Raw genomic sequence first — 21,920 nt, forward strand, 5'->3', positions numbered from 1 at the left:
TGCCCACAAATTCAGCAAAAATGTATACTCTAAACACTACCCTAAGTACATCTTGAACTTTCTTATCTCGGTTACACTGCTTCTTCTGAAAGGCTACTCATATCGCTTACCTAGAGTTTTTGCCCTCACAAACACATTTAGTTGGATTTTAGGTTCACAATAATTCAACCAAATTATTGTAAATCATTCTCAAATATGGTTTTACTAAAATACAGCATACTAAACATAGTTTGATTCTTGTGTTGAATTAACTATCAAGTTGTCAATGAATCGCACCTTTAAAGCTGAACTGAAGTCATCTACACTGTGAACTATCATTTCTCTTGAACAAAGTTCTTGAGTATGAACTTTGCATGGAATCAAAAAGTCCCCAGGAAGAGAAGCAGTAGGGGTTATTTCTAGGCATTCAGGTACTTCTCGACCAGGATCAAAGCGATCTACTGTCAATGTTACACCTTCTTCATCTGTAGAACAAAAATAACAGCTATTATACAGCATACTAATTAAAAACATAAAATCAACCAAGCAAGACTACATTATAGCAAAGCACTTTGTTCATACCAATAGTACACTAAACTCTTAAATACTAAACTAAACTCTTACAGTAAACTAAACTCTTATAAGCGTATACTAAAGTCTTACTTGCTTATATATATTGATCCATCTGACCAGACAGTGAACTCTGTAATTAATAGTTTTACTCATCTTCATATCCTTGGTACACAGCAAAGAAAATTAGCGCAAAGCAAATACAATAGTTGGCCGAATCAATAAATTCTATTGCAGTCATACAAGTAATTTAAAAAAATGTTTTCTTGTACTGATGGAGTCTTACTATGTTATGCAAGCTGGTCTTAAACTCCTAGGTTCAAGTGATCCTCCCACTCCAGCCTCCCAACGTGCTGGGATTACAGGCGTGAGCACTGGTCCATTTTTAAAAGTGTATTACCTTCGTCTGCTGTCAGAGAACCAAGTAAAAAGCATGACGAATTTTTTTTATTCTGCTTAGCATGACGATAAGCAAGTCGGATGGTCTTCTCAGTCACCACAAGCTTTGGATTTCTGAAAAACAACAAGTCTTTTATGAATATGGTAGACCTCATATCTTAAAAAAACCTCCTGCCATAAAATGCTGTCTAAATTATAACACACATTTTTAAAAATGTACAGAAAGATCATTGTCAGGAAATCCCAGGGTCAAAGGCAGGGGATACGGAGGGCCACTTGGAAACTAGAATGGCAATAAACAGACACTGAAACTATAGTTGTTCTCCAGGCATTTTGTTAACTTTATGAACCTCAGCAGGTAGGTCTCCTGTTTTTGTAAGTAAATTTTGATTGAAACAGTCACATCTGTTTCTTTACATACTGTGTATGGGCTTCAGATATAATCAGCATTACAGTAGTGCCCCCTTATCTCTGGGAGACATGTTCCAGACCCCCAGTGGATGTCTGAAACCACAGATAGTAACAAATCCTATATATACTATGTTTCTTCCTATACATACGTATCTATGATAAAGTTTAATTTATAAATTAGGCACAGTAAATGATTAACAACAATAATTAATAGTAGCATAATTTTAACAGTATACTGTAAAAAAGTTGTGTGAATATGGTCTGTCTCTCAAAATACCTTATTGTATTATACTGTGGGTAACTGAAACCATGGAAAGTGAAACCATGCATAAAGGGGGGAAACTACTGTATTGAATACAAAATATAGTATGATTTAAATGCTTTAAAAAATGTAAAAGGAAAACCAAAATATAAGCCAGGAATAAGATACTACGAAAAAAGACCAGGCAAATTTGAATAAAAAAGCCATACAGAACTTAAAGAAATAAAAAATATAATTTGCAAAAATTCAATAAGTTATATAATTAACTGGGGATAGGTACACAAATGTGTATTGTTATTCTATTAACTATGCATATATACTATAAGTATCCTCTCATATATATGGTACACCGCCACGTTTTAAAAAACCTAAATGAGGGCCAGGCGTGGTGGCACATGCCTGTAATCCCAGCACTTTGGGAGGATGAGGCAGGTGGATCACCTGAGGTCAGGAGTTCGTGACCAGCCTGACTAACATGGTGAAACCCCATCTCTACCAAATACAAAAAAATTAGCCAGGCGTGGTGGCACATGTCTGTAATTCGAGCTACTTGGGAGGCTGAGACAGGAGAATCGCTTGTACATGGGAGGCGGAGGTTGCAGTGAGCCAACATCACGCCACTGCACTCCAGCCTGGACAACAACAGCAAAACTCCTCTCAAAAAAAACAACCAAACTTAAATGAATAGGTTAGATGGCAGCTAAGCACAGCTAAAGAGAAAATAAGCAGACTTGAAAAACAAAGGAAACTACTCAAAATGTACAGAAAGACAACAATAAAAAAAATAAAAACAGGACTAACCATTATTTAGTTGAACTTCCATAAGACTCTCCCTATTTTTGTCAATGGTACCACCCTTCTCTGCCAACTAGTGTTGAACCCGAATACTTTCTTTCTTGTATCTTTCCTTCAGTTCCTCTATTCAGTCAATCATCAAATACTACAAATTATTTATTCAAAACACCTTGTTTCATTCTTTCCTCTTGATCTGAATACTGCTACATTGCTCTAAGTCCTTATAATGTATAATAGATGCCATTTATGAAATACTTTCTATTCCAGGCACTGTGACAATTGCTTTACAGAGTCTTATTTAACCCCTACAAGAGAACTGTGAAACTGGTATTATTATAGTCATTTTATAAATAAGGAAACTGATCCTTGGCTACTTTACTGAGGTTGCATAAATAAGTACTAGAATCAGGATTTGATTCCCTAGGCAGTCTGCTCCAATTATTGCACCGTTTTTTTTTCCTTATTTTGTTTTTTTTTTTACTTTTTATTTTAATTTTTTATTGAGACAAGGTCTCACTTTGTTGCCCAGGCTGGTTTCAAACTCCTGACTTCAAGCAATCCTCCTGCCTCAACCTCCCAAAGTGCTGGGGTTACAGGTGTGAGCCACTGCACCCAGCCCAGTTATAGCACCTTAAACCATTACAATATACACCTGTGTGATTACAGAAAAGCATCTTGAAGCTAGGCTGACTCAAGGCTCTCCCCGCCATAATCTATCCTTCTTAGAATACTACTTTTAACAAGTAACTCTTATGTACAAAACCTCAATAGATCTATTTTCTATTACTTTACACCTAAACTTTCTTGTCTGTCAAGGTCCTAGATGTAACTACAAGATTTTATATTCCTTCTAATCTGATCCACTCAAAAATTGGTTCAAGCTTCTCAACGTTCCACAAAGACACCATGCTGACATAATAAAAAACACTTTCAGTTTTTACTATATTTCACCTCTTTTGAATTCCTACAATATGCAGAATTTGCAGAAAACTGGGAAGATAAGATTATCTCTCAAAAGTACAAGGAACAGATGTTAAGAAGCAGAAGGAAAATTTTGCCTGAGGGGAGATTCTAAAAGAAAAGTAAAGAAAAATGAATAATTGGTCATAGTAATCAACTTTGCCTTATACATCTTTGTATTACTCTTGTTTATACTGGCTTGATTTGAAAAAAAGAAACATGTTATACCTGTAGTAACTGAGATGTAAGTAGATGAAATCTCCAGTTGGCGTTGGGTTCCAAAGTGCACATTTTGATGGAGGAAAGTGGAAAGGTACCATCCTGCTTGAAGGAAACCTTTTGAAAAAACAATGTAAAATTAAAGCACAAGGAATAGCAAACTTGGTAGACATTTGGTAGGAAACAACTAACTATCTTTAAGGTGATGGTATTTTCAGACTACTTTTGTAATTTTCAAAGAGTTTATATATATATATTTTTTTTGAGACAAAGTCTCACTCCATCACCCAGGCTGGAGTGCAGTGGCGTGATCTCAGCTCACTGCAACCTCTGCCTCCTGGGTTCAAGCAATTCCCCTGCCTGAGCTTCCTGAGTAGCTGAGATTACAGGAGTGCACCACCACACCCGGCTACTTTTTGTATTTTTAGTAGAGACGGGGTTTCGCCATGTGGGCAAGCTGGTCTCGAACTCCTGACCTCAAGTCATCCACCTGCCTCGGCCTCCCAAAGTGCTAGGATTACAGGCATTAGCCACTGTGCCTGGCCAAAAAATACTTTTTTATTTTTTGAGACGGATTCTCACTCTGTCGCCCAGGCTGGAGTACTGTGGTGCAATCTCAGCTTACTGCAACCTCCGCCTTCCAGGTTGAAGCGATTCTCCAGCCTTAGCCTCCCAAGTAGCTGGGACTACAGGCACATACCACCATGCCTGGCTAATTTTTTGTATTTTTAGTAGAGACAGGGTTTCACTGTTAATCAGGATGGTCCTGATCTGCTGACCTCATGATCAGCCTGCCTCAGCCTCCCAAAGTGCTGGGATTACAGGCGTGAGCCACCACGCCTGGCCTTTTTTTTTTTTTTTTTTTTTTTTTCAGACGGAGTCTTACCCTGTTGCCCAGGCTGGAGTGCAATGGCGTGATCTCAGCTCACTGCAACCTCCGCCTCTGGGTTCAAGTGATCCTCCCACCTCAGCCTCCCGAGTAGCTAGGATTACAGGCGCCTGCCACCACACGCAGGTAATTTTTTGTATCTTTAGTAGAGACGGGGTTTCACCATGTTGGCCAAGCTGGTCTCAAACTCCTGACGTCATGATCTACCCGCCTCAGCCTCCCAAAGTGCTGGGATTACAGGCGTAAGCCACCGCGCCCGGCCCAAAAAATATTTTTTAAAAAAGAAAATTCACTTGTAACTCTACTACCAGGAGAATAGGCACTCAAAATTTGGCTTATTTGTCCTTTTTTATCTATGCATATGTAAATTTATGTATACACAAGCTTTTAAAAAAAGAACAAGACAATCCTACAAAATCCCTTTTAAGTAACAGAAAAATGAGTATAAATCATACATTTACATTTAAATTTAAACTAAAATCTTTCTTTTCTTTCCTTTTTTTTTTTTTTTTTTAAAGAGCAGGGCCTTGCTCTGTTGCCCAAGCTGGAATGCAGGGGCTCAATCATACCTCACTGCAGCCTTAAACTCCTGGGCTCAAGGGAGCCTCTCAAGCAGCTAAGACCACAAATGTGCACCACCACGTGAGATTTACTTTTGTAATTTTTGTAGACACAGGGTCCTGCTATGTTTCCCAGGCTGGTCTTGAACTCATGGTTTTAAGCAATCTTCCCACCTTGGCCTCCCAAAGCACTGGGATTATAGGCATGAGCCATGGCTCCTGGCCTAAAATCTGTCTTTCTGAACTGATTTCCAGATAATTGTTAGATAATACCCAACAGTTATGAAAAGCAAAAAAACTTAATAAATTCTTAATTATTTTCCAGTGTTTCCAAATTTGGTATTCTGGAATACCAAAATACAGCACAAGTTTAATTATTGAAGCGTCAAAAGGACATAATTATAAATAATTCCTCAACAAAGATGCCAGGGGCAGTGTAAAGCAAGGTTGTGATATTAAATCATATAGGGTACCATCAAAAACTTTTCATTTTACATGAGTGTATAACACGAGAAAACCACAATAAGAAAAAGACCACTAATGGGGCCAGGCCTGGTGGCTCACACCTATGTCAGCACTTTGGGAGGCCAAGGCAGGTGGATCACTTGAGGCCTGCAGTTCGAGACCAGCCTGGCCAACATGGTGAAACCCCATCTCCACTAGAAATACAAAATTAGCCAGGTGTGGTGCCACGCGCCTCTGGTCCCAGCTAGTTCAGAGGCTGAGGCACGAGAATCACTTGAACCCAGGGGGAAGAGGTTTCAGTGAGCCAAGATCACGCCACCCCACTACAGCTTGGGTGACAAGAGCAAAACTCCATCTCAAAAAACAAAAAACAAAAAATTAGCTGGACATGGTGGCACACGCCTGTAATCCCAGTTACTCAGGAGGCTGAGGCATGAGAATTGCTTGAATCAGTTGAGGTTGCAGTGAGCTGAGACCGCACCACTGCACTCCAGCCTGAGTGACAGAGTGAGACTCTGTCTTGTTGCGGGAAGTCAGGGACCCCAAATGGAGGGACCGGCCGAAGCCATGACTGAAGGACGTGGATTGTGAAGATTTTATGGACATTTATTAGTTCCCCAAATTAATACTTTTGTAATTTCTTATGCCTGTCTTTACTGCAATCTCTAAACATAAATTGTAAAGATTTCATGGACACTTATCACTTCCCCAATCAATACCCTTGTGATTTCCTATGCCTGTCTTTGCTTTAATCTCTTAATCCTGTCAGCCGAGAAGGATGTATATCGTCTCAGGACCCTGTAATAATTGCGTTAACTACACAAATTGTACAGCATGTGTGTTTGAGCAATATGAAATGTGGGCACCTGAAAAAAGAACAGGATAACAGCAATTGTTCAGGGAATAAGAGAGATAACCTTAAACTCTGACCGCCGGTGAGCCAGGCAGAACAGAGCCATATTTCTCTTCTTTCAAAAGCAAATGGGAGAAATATCACTGAATTCTTTTTCTCAGCATGGAATGTCCCTGAGAAAGAAAATGCGCACCTAGGGGTAGGTCTCTGAACTGGCCCCCCCGGGGCGTACCTGTCTCTTATGGTCGAGATTGCAGAGGTGAAATAAACTCCAGTCTCCCATAGCGCTCCCAGGCTTATTAGGAAGAGGAAATTCCCACCTAATAAATTGTAGTCAGACCGGTTGATCTGAAAACCCTGTCTCCTGATAAGATGTTATCAATGACAGTGGTGCCCAAAACCTCATTAGCAATTTTAATTTCGCCTCAGTCCTGTGGTCCTGTGATCTCGCCCTGCCTCCACTTGCCTTGTGATATTCTATTACCCTGTTAAGTACTTGATGTCTGTCACCCACACCTATTCGCACACTCCCTCCCCTTTTGAAACTCCCTAATAAAAACTTGCTGGTTTTTGTGGCTTGTGGGGCATCACGAATCCTACCAACGTGTGATGTCTCCCCCGGAAGCCCAGCTTTAAAATTTCTCTCTTTTGTACTCTGTCCTTTTATTTCTCAAGGCAGCGGACGCTTAGGAAAACAGAAAAGAACCTACGTGATTATCGGGGCAGGTCCCCCGATACTGTCTCAAAAAACAAAAAAAAAGAAAAAAGAAAAAGAAAATGGAAAAAAAAAAGAATAAATTCCTGTCATTTGCAACAACATGGTTAGAACTGGAGATCACCATGTTAAGTGAAATAAGCCAGGAGCAGAAATACAAACTTCACGTTTTCGCTTATTTGTGGGATCTAAAAATCAAAACAATGGAACTCATGGACACAGAGAGTAGAAGGATGGTTACCAGAGGCTGGGAAGAGTAGTAGGGGTTGGGTGAGAGGTAGACACAGTTAATGGGTTTAAAAAAAAAAAACCAGAAAGAATGATTAAGACCTATTATTTGATAGCACAGCAGGGTGACTATAGTCAATAACAACTTAAAAGTAATAAATAATAACATTTAAAAATAATTAGGCTGGGCACAGTGGCTCACACCTATAATCCTAGCACTTTGGGAGGCTGAGGTGGGCAGATCACTTGAGGTCAGGATTTCAAGACCAGCCTGGCCAACATGGTGAAACCCCGTCTCTACTAAAAATACAAGTTAGCTGGGCATGGTGGCGCACGCCTGTAATCCCAGCTACTCGAGTGGCTGAGACACGAGAATCACTTGAACCCAGGAAGCAAAGATTGCAGTGAGCCGAGATGGCGCCACTGCCCTCCAGCATAAGTGACAAAGTGAGACTCTGTCTCCAAAAAAAAAAAAAAATAATAATAATTAAAAGTGTACAGTTGGATTGTCTCTAACACAAAAGATAAATGCTTAAGGGGATGGATACCCTATTTCCCATATGTGATTATTACACATTGCATGCCTTATAAAAATATGTCATATACCCCATAAATACATACACCATGTACCCACAAAAATTTAAATTTTTTTAATTAAAAACAGAATACACTGAACTTGTTACACAACTGTACCCTTCTAAGAATAGAAGACAAAATTTTTCTGTCAACATGGGGTTTCCCCATGTTGCCCAGGCTGATTTTGAACTCCTGAGCTCAAGCGATCTGCCCACCTCAGCCTCCCAAAGTGCTAGGATTACAGGCATAAGCCACCTTGCCCACCGACAAATTTTCAAATAAGAGATGGCAGGGGGGTAGAACACAAGGGCCAAAATTAAAGCAAAAGGAATACGATAGCCTCCTTGGGTCATGTTTCCCACTATCTTCATCAAGAACATCTGGCACAAAGAAAGACATTACAGAGAATAAAGGCGACCCATGAATGCAATTCTGGTTTGGAAGAAAAAAAAATTCACATGTCAGCATTAACTGTCGTTCCCTAGGGGAAAAAAGAGCAATAAATGATCCAAAGAGCCAAATAATACAAGCTGATTTGCCCAGTCCCCATAGTAACAGACTGAGAAAAATGGAAGACAGGTGGCAAGCTCCTACTTCACTTGACAAAGGCTTAGGAACATCTGAGGAAACTTGGTATACCTAATGTGAAATTATTCCCATCAAGGAATCAGTATTTGTAAGAGGGAAGGAACCCAACCAATTTCCCACTTGTCTAGAAAGTAAACAAACACCGATATAATTTTTAGCCTCCTAAGTTCAGGTACTATTTCCCATCAATAAAGATCTATATTACGAAAATAATTGAAGGAGGGACGGAACTAGTATTTACTGAGTGCCTATTACATACTAGACCCTTTAGTTTAGTAATCTTATTCAACCCCACACAATAATCTTCTGTGAGACAGAGATTACCATCCTCATTTTACAGATGAAGAACTGAGGCTTAGTTAATTAACTTGATCACGGTCACCCACCTAACAAGTGGTAGAGCTAGGATATGAACCCAGAATTTCCTGATTCTAAAGATTATATTCTTTTTTCTCTTCCAACCTACCTTCCCAAGTTATGTGAAAAGCTGTAAGACAAATATTTGTAAATATACTTCTATACCTGGTATTCATCTGGGGCCGTGCAAAAGGATATATAGGCTCCATGATGTCTGGTGAATGATTTCTTTAATTCCAAATCCTCAGTATCCTAAAGAATTAAAGAGAATATTACTAATGAATGATAAAAACAAAGAAGAAAAATATGATTTAACCACATATTAAAATTACAGGCAAAATTAGATTACTTATATGAAGTGTGACTATAGATTAATAAGATTAAATGCTTGTAGATTCTGCCAATCATTTTCATACGTTAGAGTCATTCTGCCAATAAATTACTGTTAATATTTATTCTAGGCAGCAAAATCTACCAATATATCTATCCCTTAAGGAAAGCTCGGATTCTGCCCCAAAACCTTTGTATCAACTTAGTGAGCTCGGTAAGGCAGGTAGTATCAAATGTATGAGATTTTGACCAAAAACCTTACAACCCTCATAAAACCATGAAGCAGCAGAAAAAAATGATTTGGGCTAGATATTTATTTGGGGCCTATAATGAAGTCATTAAAGAATCTTCATTGGAAAAAAAACAGTACTGCATGCATTCCCACAAACTGACTTGTGTCAGTGAAAAATCAGTGTTCTTTTTTTTTGAGATGGAGTCTTGTTCTGTTGCTAGGCTGGAGTGCAGCAGTGCGATCTCAGCTCACTGCACCTCCGCCTCCTGGGTTCAAGCGATTCTCCTGCCTCAGCCTCCTGAGTAGCTGAGACTGCAGGTGCGCACCACCATGCCCAGCTAATTTTTGTATTTTTAGTAGAGACGGGGTTTCACCATGTTGGCCAGGATGGTCTCAATCTCTTGACCTCGTGATCCGCCCACCTTGGCCTCCCAAAGTGCTAGGATTACAGGTGTGAGCCACCATGCCCAGCCCAGTATTCTTTTTTAACTCCACATGCTCTCTCTGGGTACTATCCTCCACTCCCATTGCTTCTACACCTACTTATCTATAGCAAACCTTTAGCTCCACCTCTCTTCTGAGTTTCAAATCCATTTTCTTTTCTTTTTTTCTTTTTTTTTTTTTTTTGAAACAGGGTCTCACTCTGTAGCCCAGGCTGAAGTAGTACAGTGGTGCAATCTCAGCTCACTGCAACCTCCACCACCTGAGCTCAGGTGATCCTCCCACCTCAGCCTCCTGAATAGCTGGGACCACAGGCATTCACCACTGCACCCGGCTAATTTTTTTGGATTTTTTGTAGAGATGGGGTTTCATCACGTTGCCCAGGCTGGTCTCGAACTCTTGGATTAAAGCAATCCATCAGCCTTTGCCTCAAAAAGTGCTGGGATTACAGGCATGAGCCACCATGCCCAGATGTTTCAAATCCATATTTCTAACTGCCCACTGGACAGTTCCATCTAAGTATTATTGAAGCTAAACACAGACCTCGTAGTCCTTTCTTTAGAGTTCAGTATGTCCTATATTCTTTCAAGCCTTAGAGTTCCTTAGGTCCTGCACATTCTGTATCAATTCTAGGAAAAAGAAACTGTCTAAGGCCAGGTGTGGGAGCTCATTCCTGTAATCCCACCACTTTGGGAGGCCGAGGTGGGTGGATCACCTGAGGTGAGGAGTTCGAGACCAGCCGGGTCAACATGGTGAAACCCCGTCTCTACTAAAAATACAAAAATTAGCTGGGCATGGTGGTGCACACCTGTAATCCCAGCTAGTCAGGAGGCTGGGACAGGAGAATCACTTGAACCTGGGAGGGGAGGTTGCAGTGAGCTGATATCATCCCACTGCACTCCAGCCTGGGCAAGAGAATGAGCCTCTGTCTCACTCTGTGTGAAGCAAGATAAAGGAGAAAAGGATTATTAATCCAGATGCAGAGATTATTTAGAAGAGACTTTTTAGATAAAGTCAGAGGCTGAAAATCCTATTGAAAATGCTCTTATACCTTGTTCAAGACAGAGAAAAACGTGCTTCTAATAAAATTGACTAGGCCGGACACGGTAGCTCACGCCTGTAATCCCAGCACTTTGGGAGGCCGAGGTGGGTGGATCACGAGGTCAGGAGATCGAGACCATCCTGGCTAACACGATGAAACCCCGTCTCTACTAAAAATACAAAAAATTAGTGGGGTGTGGTGGCGGGCACCTGTAGTGAACCCGGGAGGCGGAGCTTGCAGCGAGTGGAGATTTCGTCACTGCCCTCCAGCCTGGGCAACAGAGCGAGACTCCGTCTCAAAAAAAAAAAAAGGTGACTAAACAGTCCTTCTTAGAAATATCTGGACTTAAAAGGTTTAATGCAGCTTCCACAGAATGCAGGCTTTAAATCCTAAAACCCTTCCTTAGTACTTGGTTGTCATGGATAACAGTATTCACATGGATAACTGTAACTCTACAAAGTATAAAAAGTGCCAATTTTTTCTTCATTAAACAGAAGTGTCTTAAAATGCGCTATTTGTGTTTTATTCCTTTATTCATTTGGGTGAAAAGATGGATAATGTTGATTTCTTATTTTAAAACAATATACATAAGGTACTTTCATTCTGTCAGTGTTGTACAAGCCACTAAAGGTAATAAAACTAAAACCACACAACATCTACACCTAGCAAAACATATTCTCAGGTAAAGTCATTATCGTGTACAATAGAAACGTTCAAATCATCCTCACCCCTTCTTCCATATAAATTATCTTTCCATACCCACCACCTTAGTTGCTAACTTCATCAACTCACCAGACTTATGGAAAAGTCCCCATAATGCTGCTAGAAGAGTGTTTCCATATAAATCTGATCAAATTATTCTCCTGCTTTAAAAGTCAATGGCTCATGTCAGGGGCGGTGGCTCACGCTTGTAATCCCAGCATTTTGGGAGGCCGAGGCGGGTGGATCACCTGAAGTCAGGATTTCCAGACCAGCCCGACCAACATGGTGAAACCCCGTCTCTACTAAAAATACAAAAATCAGCCGAGCGTGGTGGCGTTTGCCTGTAATCCCAGCTACTAGGGAGGCTGAGGCAGGAGAATCGCTTGAACCCGGGGGACGGAGGTTGCAGTGAGCCGAGATCACTCCACTTCACTCCAGCCTGGGCCAAAGAGTGAAACTGCGTCTCAAAAATAAACATAAAAATAAATTTTTTTTAAAAAGCCGATGGCTCTTCTTTACATACAGAATAAAGGATCTTCACAATCCAGCCCCACTCTATTATTCCAACCTTAACCCCCCCATCCACTCATCCTACATTCCAGTCAAACTGAACTACTTGCAGTGCCCCGGTTTCAATATCTGCACAGGATGCCTCCCTTAACTTGGAATGCCCTAGTAAACCCCCGCCATCCCTCACAATCCAACTCGAATGTCACTTCCTCTGTGAAACCTTCTCCCAGACACCGTGGCGATGGTACTATACTGTCTGTACTCACACGCATAGCATTCTCGCACTTTGCTGTTTACACTTTACTTCCAGTAGTCCATGAACTTCAAACATTAACTGATCCCTTACTACGTAGCAGAGTGTGAGCCAGAAATTGTGAGGAATGCAAGAGCGAGCATTCAAGGTTTCAGTCCTCAAGAAATTCCCACCGTAAAAACAACTTTAAATGGCACGTTATCGACTGCAAACCTCTTTCACATACCTTAGCTCAGATGATACCCAAGGATTTCATGGACTGCTTAATTTCTCCCACTAGCTCCCCTTCTCGTCATCTGCTCCAGGCTCCTGGAGGGCGGAACCCACTACAGGGCTTTGAATGTTACCCACCAACCTTCCCAGGGCCCCGCTGCCGCCTCTCAAGGGGAAACCAGGAGCACAAAGCTCCACTTACCGCAACTTCCGCGGAGCTGAGGTCTGTTTGCAGGGTAGGAGCGGGAGCCGGCTCCAAGGAGCGCCACCGCCGACTCCGGCCCCGCCTCTGGGACGTTGGGGTCGCGGGAACTGAGGCGGCAAACACAAGCTCGCGAAACTGAAGGCCGCGCCACGCCTGCTGACTGGTCAGAAACCTCGCCAGTCAGGGAGCGGGGGTGGTGCTAGAGAGCCGCGCACGGTCGCCGTTACGTATTGGTGTGCCGACCAATCAGCGCCCCGCACTGGTTCCGCGCTCGACCAATCCCAAGTCTTCTTGGAGAACTGCGGGCGCCACCGGCGCTCCAGGATCAAGGATCCGAGGATTTAAACCTTTCATTTCGTCAACGGTTAAGTTCCGGGGCGGGGTAGGCTTTCCGCAAGCGCAATGGAAAGCCCAGCTAGGTAGACGGAGGAGCGAGTGGCAGATGAAGCCGGAAGTGCTCTATAAGATGATCATTGGTCGGCGACTGGAAGCGGACACCCGAAGAACAGTTTCCAAACTCTTTACCTGAAAGCACAAAAGACAAGAAAGTTAGAGTTATTCCAGTTTCTTACTTTTTAATTTTTATTCTAAAATGTACATTTTTAATTTTTCCTTTTTGTGATCACTTATCCTCAACTTCTAGATTTCTTCCAGTTTCTTTCCTAGGAAGCCATCTGTTTTAGTGACATAATTTTTTTTTTTTTTGAGGTGGAATCTCACTCCGTCGCCCAAGCTGGAGTGCGATGACGCGATATCGGCTCACCGCAACCTCGCCTCCCGAGTTCAAGCGATTCTCCTGTCTCAGCTTCCCAATTAGCTGGTATTACAGGCGTCCACCACCCACCACCACGCCCGGCTAATTTTTTTTTTTTTTGAAACGGAGTCTCGCTCTGTCGCCCAGGCTGGAGTGCAGTGGCGCGATCTCGGCTCACTGCAAGCTCCGCCTCCTGGGTTCATGCCAGTCTCCTGCCTCAGCCTCCCGAGTAGCTGGAACTACAGGCGCCCACCACGCCCGGCTAATTTTTTGTATTTTTAGTAGAGACGGGGTTTCACCGTGTTAGCCAGGATGGTCTCGATCTCCTGACCTCGTGATCCGTCCACCTCGGCCTCCCAAAGTGCTGGGATTACAGGCGTGAGCCACTGCGCCCGGCCTAATTTTTGTATTTTTTAGTAGAGACGGGGTTTCACCACGTTGGCTAGGCTGGTCTCGAACTCTTGACCTCAGGTGATCTACCCGCCTCGGCCTCCCAAAGTGCTGGGATTACAGGCGTGAGCCACCACTCTGGGCCAAAATTTGTATTTATTAATTGATTGATTGATTGATTGATTGAGACAGGGTCTTGCTCTGTCGCCCAGGCTGGAGTGCTGTGACGCTATCTCGGCTCACTGCAACTCACTGCACACTGCCTTCCAGGTTCAAGCAATTCTCCTGCCTCAGCCTCCGGAGTAGCTGGGGTTACAGACAAGCACCACCACGGCCGGCTAGTTTTTGTATTTTTAGTAGAGACCAGGTTTCACCATGTTGGGCACTGGGCTGATCTGGAACTCCTGACCTCAAGTGATCTGCCCACCTCGGCCTCCGAAACTGCTGGGATTACAGAAGTGAGCCACCGCCCCCAGCAAAGTAACATAAAAATTTTAAATTCCTGTTGAGTAGAAGAAAAGAATGTGACTTAAATTTATAAACCATATATGCCTATCTCTACAACTAGCATTGATATTATATATAGTATTGATATTTTATGTATTTATATACAGTCAGCCCTCTATCAGTGGGTTCCATATTCACAGATTCAGCCAACCGCAAATGGAAATATTCGGAGGGGAAAAAAACAAAATAACAACAATAAAAATAATACAAATCCAGTCTGGGCAACATGGCAAAACCCCATCTCTACAAAAAATACAAAAAAATTGCCAGGCATGGTGTCATGTGCCTGTAGTCCTACTACTTGGGAGGCTGAGGTGGGAGGACGGCTTGAGCCGGGGAGGCAGAGGTTGCAGTGAACTGAGATTGTGCCATTGCACTCCAGACTGGGTGACAGATCAAGACCCTGCCTCAAAAATAATAATACAAATAAGACACACATGTTGGGTGCGGTAGCTCCTGCCTGTAATCCCAACACTTTGCAAGGCCGAGATGGGAGGATCGCTTGAGGCCAAGAGTTCAAGACCAGCCTGGGCAATATAGCAGCACCCTGTCTCTACAGAAAATTTAAGAATTAGTGGGGTGTGGTAGTACAGGCCTGTAGCCCTAGCTACTGGGAAGGCTTAGGTGGGAGGATTGCTTGAGCCCAGGAGTTTGAGGCTGCAGTGAGCTATGATTGTACCACTGCACTCCAGCCTGGATGACAGAGCAAGACCCTATCTCTCAAATAATTTAATTTAAAACTATAACCAATTTGACCGGGTATGGTGGCTCATGACTGTAATCCCAGCACTTTGGGAGGCCGAGGCGGGTGGATCACCTGAGGTCAGGAATTCAAGACCAGCCTGACCAACATGGAGAAACCCCGTCTCTACTAAAAATACAAAATTAGCCAGGTGTGGTGGCACATGCCTGTAATCCCAGCTACTAGGGAGACTGAGGCAGGAGAATCGCTTGAACCCGGGAGGTGTAGGTTGCGGTGAGCCCCGAGATCACGCTATTGCACTCCAACATGGGTGACAAGAGTGAAACTCCATCTCAAAAAAAAAAACAAAAACCTATAACTACTTTTTACATAGCATGTACACTGTATTAGGTATTATACAATGTGTTAGGTATTATACAATTAGTTATTATGAGTAGTCTAGAGATGATTTTTTTTTTTTTGAGACAGGGTCTCACTCTGTCACCACAGACTCAACTTCTGGCTGAAGTGATCCTCCACTTCAGCCTCCCTAGAAACTGAGACTACAGGCATATGCCACCATCCCCAATTAATTTTTGTTTTAAGATGATTTAAAGTATAAGGATGACTGTACATTGGTTATATGCAAATACTATGCCATTTTATATAAAAGACTTGAGTATCTGTGGGCCAAATTTGGTATCCCTGGGGTTCCTGGAACCAATCCCCCATGGATACAGAGGGAAGACTGTTTATATGGTATTAATATTCCTTTGATAATTTGTAATTATTTCCACAGCTAATGTGGTAATAGTGCTTTCTCCACCAGTATCTGATATTATTCTCCTAAAAGCCAAAGTAGAGAAGTGTTATCCCTATTTAACAAGAGATGAAATGTGTTAAGATCCCACAGCTAGTTAGTGCAGAGACAGGATTTGAAATGTCACTTATTTTCCTCAACACTCCACTTTTGTTAGTTTCCTGAGCAATATGGAAATATCTTAAAGTCCGAGCTGTATTTGTAGGCTGCTCTGGTCAGAATAAGCAGCTACCCTTTTAAGAGAGTGAAAACACTATTCTGAAAAATGTATCAAACTAGCAAAGAAATATGTGCTCTAAGACCAGGTGTGGTGGCTCACGCCTGTAATCCCAGCACTTTGGGAGGCTGAAGTGGGTGGATCACCTGAGGTCAGGAGTTCAAGAACAGCCTGACCAACATGGTGAAACACCATCTCTACTAAAAATACAAAAATTAGCTGGGCGTAGTGGTGGACGCCTGTAATCCCGACTACTAGGGAGGCTGAGGCAGGAGAATCACTTGAATTTGGGAGGCAGAGGTTGCAGTGAGCTGAAATCACAACACTGCACTCCAGCCTGGGCAACAGAGTGAGACTACATCTCCAGAAAAAACAAAAAAGAAAGAAAGATGTGCTCTGTAGAGCATCATTCTCTGCTTTCCTGAAAAAATTCTTGGCATCTAGGGTACAAATTTTAAGGGGAATGATGGTCAGTTCCTGAGCTCTAGTGTGAGAACAGGAAGGGCCTCAGACAGCCATGCATGTCTGACAAACTGTTGGCCAGCCCAATAAGGAGCTCCAGAGCAAAGATTGCCCATTACAGGAGTCCCACATTAGGCAGAAATGGCTAGGCCCTAGAATTCTTGCTGTGCCTAGTCATTGCCTGAGGCTTCCAAGAAAGAACAAGCACCAAAGCTAAGGCAGATTCCAAAGGAGGCTGTCAGGCAACTGCAGTCTTTGCAGCTGACTGGAAAGTTCTTTCTGGAAAGAGATCTAAGTCATTGAGATCACTGACACATCTCAATGACGGCCATTGGTTACATGAAGTGCAAAGGCCCTGAGTTACATGGGAAGCCTTTGGAAAATTTTTTTTTTTTTGAAACAGAGTCTCACTCTGGTGCCGGGCCTGAAGTACAGTGGTGTGATCTCAGCTCACTGCAACCTACGACTCCTGGGTTCAAGTGATGAACCCTGCCTCAGCCTCCGAGTAGCTGGGATTACAGGCACCCGCCATTACGTCCAGCTCATTTTTTGTATTTTTAGTAGAGACAGGGTTTCACCATGTTGGCCAGGCTGGTTTCGAACTTCTGACCTCGTGATTCATCTGCCTCAGTCTCCCAAAGTGTTGGGATTACAGGCGTGAGCCACCACCCCCAGCCTGGAAGATTTTATATACAGGACTGACATAATCTGATTTTAGGTTTTTGTTTGTTTTGTTTTGTTTTGTTTTTTGAGATGGAGTCTCGCTCTGTTGCCCAGGCTGGAGTGCAGTGGCGCCATCTAGGCTCACTGCAACCTCCGCCTCCCAGATTCAAGCATTTCTTGTGCCTCAGGCTCCCGAGCAGCTGGGAATACAGGCCCCTGCCATCACGCCCAGCTAATTTTTGTATTTTTGGTAGGGACGGATTTTCACCATATAGGCCCTGCTGGTCTCAAACTCCTGATCTCAGGCAACCCTCCCTCCTCGGCCTCCCAAAGTGCTAGGATTACAGGCGTGAGCCACTGCGCCTGGGTGAGGCTATGATTTTAGGTTTTAAAAGGACCATTGATTGCTATATTGAGAATAGACTGTTTGGGGCAAGGGCAGAGATGCAAGGGGACCAGTTAAAAAACTGCTGCAATAACTTAGAAGAGAGATTGATGGTAGCTTGGACCAGAATGGTAGCAATGGAGGTGGTGAGAGGTTATTGTATTCTGGATATATTTTGAAGGAATAATCAATACTATTTGATTCCAGATTGAATTTAGCATGTAAAAGAAAGGAACGCTGTGTCAGCTTCTCATGATTTATGATTTTCTTTAAAACTACTTTGATATTAGAAAGAGAAATGTAGTATGAGTTAGATAAAAAGGAAGGGGTGAGCCTAACACATAACCCCCCACTCCTTAGGTGTGGGCTGCACATAATGACATTTCTTCTAAGTGTATAGTATTGGGTTGGGGGAGAAAGGCAGAGGGAGGAAAGTGACTTTACAATGGGAAAACCTGACAAACACTACTTCAGGTGGGTCATCAAGCCAACCTCAATAGTTATGCTGATAGTAGGTACACTTCTGTTTCCTTTTTTTGTTTTTTAGAGACAGTGCCTTGCTGTTGCCCAGGCTGGAGTGCAGTGGCACAATCATAGCTCACTGCAACCTCAACCTCCTGGTCTCAAATGATCCTCCTACCTCAGCCTCCAAGTAGCTGAGACGACAGGAGGGTGCCACCATGCCCAACTTTCTTTTTTTCCTTCAGTAGCAAGTATTCTGTCTATATTGTCCAGTCTGGTATTGAACTCCTAGCCTCAAGTACTGGGCCTCCAAAGTGCTCGGATTCCCAAAGTGCTGGGATTGCAGGCGTGAGCCACAGCACCCAGACTACTATGCACACTTGATATGATGTGATTAAAATGGCACTTTAGGCTGGGCACGGTGGCTCATGCATGTAATCCCAGCACTTTGGGAGGCCGAGGCAGGCGGATCACCTGAGGTCGGGAGTTTGAGATCAGCCGGACCAACATGGAGAAACCCCGTCTCTACTAAAAATACAAAAAATTAGCCAGGCGTGGTGGCACATGCCTATAATTCCAGCTACTCGGGAGGCTGAGGCAGGAGAATTGCTTGAACCCGGGAGACGGAGGTTGTGGTGAGTCGAGATCATGCCATTGCACTCCAGCCTGGGCAACAAGAGCGAAACTCCGTCTCAAAAAAAAAAAAAAAGGCACTTTAGGCCAGAGGCGGTGACTCACGCCTGTAATCCCAGCACCTGGGGAGGCTGAGGTAGGTGGATTACTTGAGGTCAGGAGTTCGAGACCAGCCTGGCTAACGAGGAAACCCTGTCTCTACCAAAAAATATAAAAATTAGCCGGGTGTGGTGGCATGCGCCTGTAGTCCCAGCTACTCAGGAGGCTGAGGTGGAAGAATCGGTTGAACCCGGGAGGCAGATGTTGCAGTGAGGTGAGATCATACCACTGCACTCCAGCCTGGGCGACAGAGTGAGATTCCGTCACAAGAAAAAAGCAAGGGGCACTTTATCTCTGTGGTCTTCCTCCCATTAACCTATAACCTTGTATTATTCTGAGAAAGACAGACAAATTCCAATAGTGAGGAATCCTGTAAAATGCCTGACCTGTACTCCTCAAAACTGTTAAACTCATCAAAAACAAGGAAATCCTGAGAAACTGCCAGAGTCAAGAGAAGCTTAAAGAGATATGATAACTAAATGTAATGTGATACCGTGGATGGGATCACGGACCGAAAAAAACCTCATTAGGTAAAAACTAAGAAAGTCTAAATATAGACTTTAGTTAATTATAATGTACCAATATTTGTTCATTAACTGTAACAAATGTACCTACCATACTAATATAAGATGTTAATAATATGAAAAACTGGGTGTAGGGTATGGAACTTCTGTACCATGTTCTCAATTTTTCTATAAATATAAAACTTCTAAAAAAAATAAAGTATTGTCTGGTACACTCGCTTGCGCCTGCAGTCCCAACACTTTGGGAGGCTGAGGTGGGTGGATTGCCTGAGCCCAGAAGATCAAGGCCAGCCTGGGAAACATAGTGAGACCCCATCTCTATTCATTATAAAATATAATTTTTAAAAACAAACAAAAATCCTTCCAGTAAGAGACAATAGCCAAAAAAAAAGTGTTTTAGAGGCAAATTTTTTTTTTGAAACGGAATCTTGCTCTGTTGCCCAGGCTGAAGTGCAGTGGCTGGACCTCAGCTCACTGCAACCTCCACTTCCTAGGTTCAAGCAATTCTCCCTGCCTCAGCCTCCCAAGTAGCTGGGATTACAGGTGCCTGCCACCACACCTGGCTAATTTTTGTATTTTCAGTAGAGACGGGGTTTCAGGATGTTGGCCAGGCTGGTCTTGAACTCCTGACCTCAGGTGATCCGCCCACCTCGGCCTCCCAAAGTGCTGGGATTACAGGTGTGAGCCACCGTGCCTGACTGAGGCAAATTCTTAGGATTAAAAAAATTAAAGAGTCTATTACAAAGAAAAAAGGAAAGTACAAGGTGAGAGCTGAGGCATGTGCTAATCTTTAGAACAACTAAAATAGCATGTCTTCCTTTTTGCTTAGTAATAACTCAAATACCAATGAGAGTTCAATTAAACATTTTATTAACACTGGACTTTTTTTTTATGGAGTCTCGCTCTGTCTCCCAGGCTGGAATGCAGTGGCATGATCTCGGTTCAAGCAATTCTCCCTGCCTCAGCCTCCCAAGTAGCTGGGATTATAGGCAACCGACACCACTCCCAGCTAATTTTTGAATTTTTAGTAGAGACAGGGTTTCACCATTTTGGCCAGGCTGGTCTCGAACTTCTGACCTTGTGATCCGCCTGCTTCGGCCTCCCAAAGTGCTGGGATTACAGGCGTGAGCCACCATGCCTGGCCTACCACTGGACTTCTAAGCAGGATATACACTTAACACTATGCATAAATACTTTTTGACTGAAATGAAAAGTAATTATTGACTTCATTTTAGGATAGGAATGATTCAGCATTATATTTAGGAGAGCTTGGAAGTGACTAAAGAGCTTATTTCCCCAGATGTTTTCTTTTTTTTTTTGAATTATAATGCAATAATCAATAGCTTTGGGGATCTGACCCCAATTCTGCCATTTAATTTCTCTGAGATTGATTTTCCTCATTTGCATATTGTACATTATCATAAAAAAGAGTTAATGCATAATGAGTGTGAAAGTTAAAGGGGCCACCCATATATTATTATTAGTCTAGGTGTACTGGCAGTTGACATTATTAATAAATGAGCAACACATTGCCCTGTGTTCAAAGAGATTAAGGGAACTGATTTGTTAAATTAGAAAGAGAATAAGGGCTGGGCGCAGTGACTCACATCTGTAATTCCAGCACTTTGGGAGGCCAAGGTGCACATATCACCTGAGGTCAGGAGTTTGAGACCAGGCTGACCAACATGGTGAAACCCTGTCTCCACTAAATATACAAAAAAATTAGCCAGGCATGGTGGCAGACGCCTGTACTCCCAGCTATTCGGGAGGCTGAGGCAGGAGAATCTCTTGAACCCGGGAGGGGAGGTTGCAGTGAGCCGAGATCGCGCCACTGCAGTCCAGCCTGGGTGACAGAGCGAGACTCCGTCTCAAAAAAAAAAAAAAAAAAAAATTAGCCAGGCGTGGTGGCGCACGCCTGTAGTCCCAGCTACTCGGGAGGCTGAGGCAAAAGAATCGCTTGAACCTGGGAGGCCAAGGTTGCAGTAAGCCGAGATTGCGCCACTGCACTCCAGCCTGGCGACAGAGCGAGACTCCATCTCAAACAAAAAGAAAGAGAATTAAGTTTAATGGAATAAAATCTACAAATGCTATACCAAGGACCTACTATACACTAAGCTTTAGTGCTAGCTGGTATGGGGAGTTGAAAGGACATGATAAGCATAGAACAGGGAAGGCACAATTTTATAGGCTGTGTAATAAGAGGTAATTACCCAAAGCAAATATGAATAATTGTTAGATGACAGGCCAGTTTAAATAGACTGAAGAGATACCATGCTAGTCTTTGATCTCTGTTTATATATATTTATGTGTCATTTCTTTTTTTTTCTCTTTTTTTTTTTTTTTTTTGAGATGGAGTCTTGCTCTGTCACCCAGGCTGGAATGCAATGGCGCCACCTCGGCTCACTGCAACGTTCGCCTCCCGGGTTCAAGCAATTCTCCTGCCTCAGCCTCCTGAGTAACTGGAATTACAGGCACCCACCACCATGCCCAGTTAATTTTTGTATTTTCAGTAGAGACGGGGTTTCACCATGTTGGTCAGGCTGGTCTCAAACTCCTGACCTCAGGTGA

At 42.9% G+C, this 21,920-nt stretch overlaps 1 protein-coding gene across 54 annotated transcripts in view, besides 3 other annotated features; it reads right to left on the reverse strand.

The window, feature by feature from the left end:
* Window positions 1-13,612, reverse strand: part of STIL (STIL centriolar assembly protein) — a 64,758-nt gene extending 51,146 nt beyond the window's left edge. For 12 of the 54 annotated variants that reach the window (XM_047428440.1, XM_011541998.3, XM_047428432.1 and 9 more), the window contains exons 1-5: window positions 12,752-12,863; window positions 8,992-9,078; window positions 3,605-3,712; window positions 950-1,062; window positions 277-464 (exon numbers count right to left, since the gene is read on the reverse strand). In XM_047428440.1, coding sequence (XP_047284396.1) covers window positions 277-464; window positions 950-1,062; window positions 3,605-3,712; window positions 8,992-9,035 — 453 coding nt within the window. In that variant the 5' untranslated portion in view covers window positions 9,036-9,078; window positions 12,752-12,863. Of the gene's footprint in view, window positions 1-276; window positions 465-949; window positions 1,063-3,604; window positions 3,713-8,991; window positions 9,079-11,663; window positions 12,663-12,751; window positions 13,280-13,517 lie in introns of those variants that run through there. The other 42 variants (XM_047428444.1, XM_047428392.1, XM_047428377.1 and 39 more) reach the window with 11 other exon arrangements.
* Window positions 5,221-5,786: an enhancer, noted in NCBI's record as "H3K27ac-H3K4me1 hESC enhancer chr1:47772177-47772742 (GRCh37/hg19 assembly coordinates)". NCBI's record gives its function as "activates a minimal SCP1, AML or CMV promoter by ChIP-STARR-seq in naive H9 embryonic stem cells {active_cell/tissue: H9 hESC(naive)}" and the evidence as "EXISTENCE:reporter gene assay evidence [ECO:0000049][PMID:30033119]".
* Window positions 12,873-13,602: an enhancer, noted in NCBI's record as "OCT4-NANOG-H3K27ac-H3K4me1 hESC enhancer chr1:47779829-47780558 (GRCh37/hg19 assembly coordinates)". NCBI's record gives its function as "activates a minimal SCP1, AML or CMV promoter by ChIP-STARR-seq in naive H9 embryonic stem cells {active_cell/tissue: H9 hESC(naive)}" and the evidence as "EXISTENCE:reporter gene assay evidence [ECO:0000049][PMID:30033119]".
* Window positions 12,920-12,969: a silencer, noted in NCBI's record as "silent region_853". NCBI's record gives its function as "represses an Ori minimal core promoter by ATAC-STARR-seq in GM12878 lymphoblastoid cells {active_cell/tissue: GM12878}" and the evidence as "EXISTENCE:reporter gene assay evidence [ECO:0000049][PMID:35858748]".

The sequence above is a fragment of the Homo sapiens genome, chromosome 1, assembly GCF_000001405.40.
Source record: "Homo sapiens chromosome 1, GRCh38.p14 Primary Assembly".
Lineage (NCBI taxonomy): Eukaryota > Metazoa > Chordata > Mammalia > Primates > Hominidae > Homo > Homo sapiens.